Source organism: Homo sapiens, chromosome 6, assembly GCF_000001405.40.
Source record: "Homo sapiens chromosome 6, GRCh38.p14 Primary Assembly".
NCBI classification, from domain to species: Eukaryota; Metazoa; Chordata; class Mammalia; order Primates; family Hominidae; genus Homo; species Homo sapiens.
The window spans coordinates 105,736,580-105,743,668 of record NC_000006.12 but is presented as its reverse complement, the minus strand read 5'-3'; the positions used below and the strand labels follow the sequence as shown (position 1 = coordinate 105,743,668).

Sequence of the window (7,089 nt, the reverse complement as noted above, 5' to 3'; positions counted from 1 at the left end):
AAAAATAATGACAAGGGGCTTGCTGGAGTTCTCCTATTGCCATACTACTGATGTAAAGATCCACAGCTGGGCTTTCTTTTGCCCTTCGGAACAAGAAATCTTGTTTTCAGGCCATTCAAGTCACAGTAGACGTTTGGCTTTTGTTGTTTCTGCTTTGACTTGCTAAAGAGGTAATATACATGGTGAATGAGAGAGGAGAAATACTTCCAAGTTAAGGCTGGTGGTCCCAACATTGCTATTGTTGTGAGGGCTGAAGAAAATCATAGTTTTACTCTGTGATTTTTAAGGTCTGTAAATGAACCCATATATATTTTTCAGTTAGTCCAGGATAGAAGGGTTAAAGAAGGAAAAGTCCACTGGTTGGCCAGGAATAAGACAGGCCATCTTCTGTGGAGGAGCAGGTCTGGGAGTCTGGGGGAAGCATGAGCTTGATGCCTAGATCCATCTAAAACACAGAGGCCCAGTTCAGAGATGGTGCATGGTGGCATTCGCTGGTTACTCTCCACATAGCAAGGCACTTTGCATTCAAAGTCAAAATAAGAATTTTTGCCAATAGAGTTTAAAGGGAAATAAATGTTCACATTGCTCTGTTTTCAAAGTTTTAACTCAACCACTAATATCAGGATGCTTTTGGTTGTAAAGAAAGAAAACTCAACTTCAAGTAGCCTAAGCAATAAGGAACATTTTTAGCTCACATAACAAAACACCTGAAAGTTGAGCGGCTCCAGACTTGCTGAGTTTAGTGTTGAAATGATACCATCAAGGTCCCAGATTCACTCCACCTGTCCTCTCTGTAAATTGGCTTGTCTTTTAGCTGAATTCCTTCATGGCCCCAAGATGGCTGCTATTTTTTCAGCCTCAGCGCAGACAGCAACATCCAGAGGCGGCAAAAGGTTTGTTTCCTCTTGTGTGTCTTTTATTGTCGGTAACGAACACTTCTGCTGAGCTCCCAGTATACTTACGTCTCACTGTCAGAGGGCAGAAGGCACAGGGAGGGGTAGCCATTTAGTCGGCAACAAAAATCATTTGTCACAAAATCAGAGTCAGCACCCTAAGTGCAGGTAGGCTTTCCTAGGAGGGAGTGGTCTTCTGATATTCTTGATTATACACAATATTTTGGCTTCAACATCTTTCTGCTTTCACAAAAACGGTGAAGTGATTTCTTTTTTGAAAATGAAAACTGGGAAGAGATGGATTATTGAAACCACGGGTTTTAGGCTTTACCTTAGGTGATTCTCAAAGAAGGGCGGTGTCAGAGTTTCCTTCTGAAGGGTGTTGGAGAGCTCAGTGTTTAGAGATGTGGAGAAAATACCTATTATATCTTTTCCCTCTTAAATTTGTTGAATAATACAAGTAGAAGTCAGAGTTCTATTCTCTGACCTCTCTCCAAAGGAAAATGTAAAACACTCAAGATGTTTATCAAAGACTACAGGTAAATTGAGAAGACTGTGGGGAACTTAACTTCGGAGGGATCAACGCCTAAAGACAGGGAGGAACGCAGACCCTGTGGAATCTGTAGATGAGGCAGCTGTAGTCTCTTTAGGTGACTTATTTCAGGGTCTAGCCACTCCCAGCATCTCCTTCCACTGCAGATCTGCCAGGTTGCCCTTGTTTTGCCCTCAGAGGTGGATATTCATTGATGTCCATCTGCTATGTAATGATCCCAATTCTCAAAAATGAAAAGAAATGTTACTGTGAGAAAATCTCAAGGGGAGGAGAAAACAAGAGAGAACAGAAACCTCAAATCTGCTGGATATTTCAGAATCAGAAGAGGTTAGTAAGCAAAAGAAAACTGAGAACAAATTTAAAAGTTTTATTTCTCTATTTTAAAGTAAGAGAAAATGTTATTTGTGATTTTGGGGTAGAAGCTGAATGGCTAAAGAGAGAAAATAGAGTATAGGATCCTTTATTTTCCAAGTTTTGATTAGAAAGAAAACGTTCAGATACTCAATACTTAAGTGGTGATTACATTAAAGACATTTAATTTTGTGTCTTTTTTTTCATCCCTGGATTCCCTAATTCCCCACACAGTTTTATTTTTAAAGCCTTTGTACAAGATGAAATGACCAGAGAAGAGCTGTTTTTTAAAAAGGGTTTGAAGTTTGTTTGCTTAACAAAGTGTTTGCAGTCATAATTAGGTTGCATATTAAAGTTCAAAACCAACTCAAGTTGGAAGTGACTGAAAATTGTTACCATCTGATGGCTTTGTGGGCGGAGCTTTCACAAACGACACTGCACGCACCAGGGAATAAAGGCCCTATTCTGAGCATTGCCCCAGGAGACTTCACGGGTCTGGGCGACACTCAGACTGCAGATTTCCCGTAGTGGCATCATGGATCTAAATCTAACTGTCATAATAGCATGGCCTTGATCTGCTGGAGTTGTCCCAGTTTGGTTTGCTCTTGTTGTTATTTTCACCTCCTTAGGGTTCTCATGTCTTATCTCTAGTCCACACATCTATCTGTGGAACTGCAGAAGCCATGATGAGTTGTAGCTCCCGGGCTCAGTTCTGCAACTCTCACCATGGAAAATCCATCTCAAAGCCAGGTTTTCTGAGAGAGAGAGAGAGAGAGAGAGAGAAAGAGACACTGATTAGGGTGTTTGGGATGAGTCAGCTCCTCATCTGTTGTGTTGAAAGGCAAAACTGTCTTTAATTTTAACAGTGCTCCATTTCCATCTTCACTGGCATATGAAGCCTATTTGGGAACAGAAAGAGGAGTTTTATGTGGTACATTTCAAACATCTTGCCTCAGGCAAGAACCTCACTGTTTCTTAGAGGGAAATCTCCTTATTGGCCTCCACACCTGAGTCTTTTATTTCTACTTAGGAGGAGACAGAATGATGGAAGCTTGTCTCTTCTAATGATAAGCACGAGGTAAGAATTAAGACCTAATACACCCCATGATGGGGCATAATTATGCAAGAGTTAGTACAAATGACCTTGATGCTTGGAGCCATCACAGGCATTGTACTTGCTGAATGTATCTGATTTGTAGGTTCAGTGTCAATCTGAAAACCCAGGTTTATATCAGATGAGAATGGATTTGTTTCTTTAATAAATAAAAATATAATATGATTGTATATTAAATCATCATTGAACCTGGAGCGATTTGAAGATAAATTTTGGTTATTAAGTCAGTTGTCTTCCTGAATATTGATGCATATTCCCTTTTATTTCTTTTAGGGTATTCTTCCAAATGCTTGCTAGTATAGCCATTCTGCTTAACAAAATAAAAAATGGGGTCAGAATTTGGAAGAAAGCTAACATAATGACAAAAGAAGCAGCTAAGTCTTTGGTTTTGTGATTCAAAACAGACAACAATTTTAAAACAAAATAGAAGGAACCATAAAATACAGGGTTGACTTTACAAAGAGCAGAAATGTTTTCTTGGTGAGTGTGAGGCTGCATTCAGAGGGAGGACAAAGATAAATAGATTTATTTTTAGAACTTTTCTTACAGCTAATTGTGGAATATTTCTTGAAAGTCTTCATCAAAAGCAGGTGCTTTCAGTTGTCCTTAATAAATTAATGTTGTCCCTCTTCCCTCTTACCCTAAAATACTGATATTGGGAAACAAGTAGACAGTGCTCATCGTGACACTCTGCATGGACCCCCACAATAAAGACAGTGGATGCATCATTTCAGTCAGAGAATAGAATCAATTTGACCAACGATATTAGAGTGTATAGTTTTGCAAAGTGACTCATTAACCATGACCATCTAAAAACCACTGGGATCTAGTAGTATAGCAGTAACACAGCCACAGGGAGAATCCCCAGCCCCAACATTTACACTGATATAATATCCCCTAATTCAGTGACAATGGGATTGGCCATATTCTAAAACAAATTTAATTACTTTGCTTAATAAATTTGAAGCTTTTGAGAGCTTATTACTTTTTAATATACTGCTGCATGACCCTCACTTGCAAAAATAAGTATATTACATACAGTCATGAAGTTGCAAACGTTTCAGAACGAATGGTCTTTAGAGATATTTTACAAAGAGATTAATATATTAAAATGCCAGGCTCAACAGACTGGATATAAGGTCAAGTTGTTACCTTTGGGAGTGAGGCTCATGGGAGTTGTTACTTTGGGAGTGCCTGGGGCTCATAAAAAGTTTTCCTATGGAAATCTCAGATGTCTATACCCTGTTCTTTTTTTTTTTTTTTTTTTTTGAGGTGGAGCCTCACTCTGTCGCCCAGACTAGACTACAATGGCATGATCTCTGCTCACTGCAGCCTCCGCCTCCCAGGTTCAAGTGATTCTCCTGCCTCAGTCTCCCAAGTAGCTGGGATTACAGGCACGTGCCATCACGCCCGGCTAATTTTGTATTTTAGTAGAGACGGGGTTTCACCATGTTGGTCAGGCTGGTCTCAAACTCCTGACCTCAGGCGATCCACCCACCTCAGCCTCCCAAAGTGTTGGGATTAAAGGTGTGAGCCACCGCACCTGGCCTACCCTGTTCTTATAACCATCTACCATTCCCCTTTAAGTTATAGCTCTTGCATCAAAAAGAGAATATTAGGGGCCAGGCATGGTGGCTCACGCCTGTAAACCTAGCACTTTGGGAGGCCGAGGTGGTGGATTGCCTGAGCTCAGGAGTTCGAGGCCAGCCTGGGCAACATGGTGAAACCCTGTCCCTACTAAAATGCCAAAAATTAGCCGGGTGTGGTGGCACGTGCCTGTAGTCCCAGCTACTGGGGAGGCTGAGGCAGGAGAATTGCTTGAACCCAGGAGGCAGAGGTTGCAGTGAGCTGAGATCACACCACTATACTCCAGCCTGAGCGACAGAGTGAGACTCTGTCTCAAAGAAAAAAAAAAAAAAAAGAATATTAGGATAGAAACATCCAGCAAAACTCCCCCTGTTGAATCTGTTGTTCACTTGAAAGGACTGAAAGGGGAATGAGTAACATGGCAGATAAGTCCAGGGGAAGTGCATAAACCCAACTCTTTAAATTCAGAATCGAAAAGGAAAAGTCCAGTAGCCCTTTGTTAAACTCCAGTCATGAATGCTACGGAGCAATAAGTGAACAATGGAATTAACCAAAGTGAAAAATCTATTGTAAACAGTTGATCAAATGAGCTGAACATGGTATGGTGCAAGCAGAAAACAACATTACAGCATTACATTTTTCTCACATTGAACTTTTACTTCTCTCCTGGTAGATTTTTTTTTTTCCTTCCTCTAAACAATATCTTTGGAAGATCCCTCACCAGTTCCAGGTACTTTCAGGCTGGGCCAATGTCAGGTCCAGTTATACCAGTTACTTATGGCCATTGTACATTCTGATTGGCCACTACCTGTGCTATCCTAGCTGGAGAACATACCAAATATCACCCTTGCCTTCTGATATTAATGACCAGTTATGTTTTCAGCAAATAAAATGTCTAATGTATCAAAACCCTGATTTCATGTCAATTCAAAGCTTTCACCCCTCCATACCACTCAGGCCTGACACAGTCTCAGAAACCTGTGGTACAAGAAATGGACATGGTCTCTGTAATATTTTTGCACTACCTTTGTGATACTTCCAGCTATGTTCTACTGTAGGTCCTCCAGAGTAGAGACAAGGGGGGTGGGAAATGAGGTGAGAAAAGAGGGAAAATGTTTCTTACTTGGCCAATGCTGCTGTTATCTGGCAATGAGGCCCTCATTGTAGCAGGAACCCAATTATGGGTCCTTTCTCTTGTGGGGTGCTGTGTTGGGAAATCCGAATCACCCACTAAGCCTGTTCCTACCTTACTTTTACTAAAAGAGATTGAACAGATGAAAACTACACTTCCTAGACTGCTTTGCAGATAGGTTTCTATTAAATAGATGTGAATTTGTGTCCCTTAGATTCACTTACTAGGAGATTTGGAAGGCAGGAATGAGGTAGAGGTCATCTTCCTGAGCTTCAGGCTATGATTTCTTTTGTTTTTCTTTAAATTTTTATTTTTAGTTCTGAGGTACATGTGCAGGAAGTGCAGGTTTGTTACATAGGTAAACGTGAGCCATGGTGGTTTGCCACAGCTATCAACCCATCACCTAGGTATTAAGCCCAGCGTGCATTAGCTATTTTTCCTAATGTTCCCCCTCCCCAAACTCCACCCAGCAACAGGCCCCAGTGTGTGTTGTTCCCCTCCCTGTGTCCATGTGTTCTCATTGTTCAGCTTCCACTTATAAATGAGAACATGCGGTGTTTGGTTTTCTGTTCCTGTGTTAGTTTTGCTGAGAGTAATGGTTTCCAGCTCTATCCATGTCCCTGCAAAGGACATGATCTCATTCCTTTTTATGGCCGCATAGTATTCCATGGTGTATATGTACCACATTTTCTTTATCCAGTCTATCATTGATGGGCATTTGGGTTGATTCCATGTCTTTGCTATTGTAAATAGTGCTGCAATAAACATATGTATGCATGCATGTATCTTTGTAACAGAATGATTTATATTCCTTTGAGTATATACCCAGTAATGAGATTACTGGGTCAAATGGTATTTCTGGTTCTAGATCTTTGAGGAATCACCACACTGTCTTCCACAATAGTTGAACTAATTTACATTCCCAGCCACAGTGTAGAAGTGTTCCTATTTCTCCACAACCTTGCCAGCATCTGTTGTTTCTTGACTTTTTAATAATTGATATTCTGACTGGCATGAGATGGTATCTTGTTGTGGTTTTGATTTGCATTTCTCTAATGATCAGTGATGTTGAGTTTTTATTCATATGTTTTTCGGCTGCATGAATGTCTTCTTTTGTGAAGTGTCTGTTCATGTTCTTTTCCCACTTTTTAATGCGGTTGTTTTTTTCTTGCAAATTTGTTTAAGTTCCTAAATATTCAGGAATATTAGACCTTTGTCAGATGAATAGGTTGCAAAAATTTTCTCCTGCTCTGTAGGTTGCCTGTTTGCTTTGATGATAGTTTCTTTCACTGTGCAGAAGCTCTTTAGATTAATTAGATAGCATTTGTCAATTTTTCCTTTTGTTGCAATTGCTTTTGGTGATTTTGTCATGAAATCTTTGCCCATGCCTTTGTCCTGAATGGTATTGTCAGACTATGGTTTCTAACAAGTGAGATGATGGAACCATGAAGTTTTGGGT

At 40.3% G+C, this 7,089-nt stretch overlaps 1 annotated feature.

Moving 5' to 3' along the window:
- Positions 2,341–2,635: an enhancer, noted in NCBI's record as "tiled region #12173; K562 Activating DNase matched - State 5:Enh". NCBI's record gives its function as "activates a minimal TATA promoter and a strong SV40 promoter by Sharpr-MPRA in K562 cells {active_cell/tissue: K562}" and the evidence as "EXISTENCE:reporter gene assay evidence [ECO:0000049][PMID:27701403]".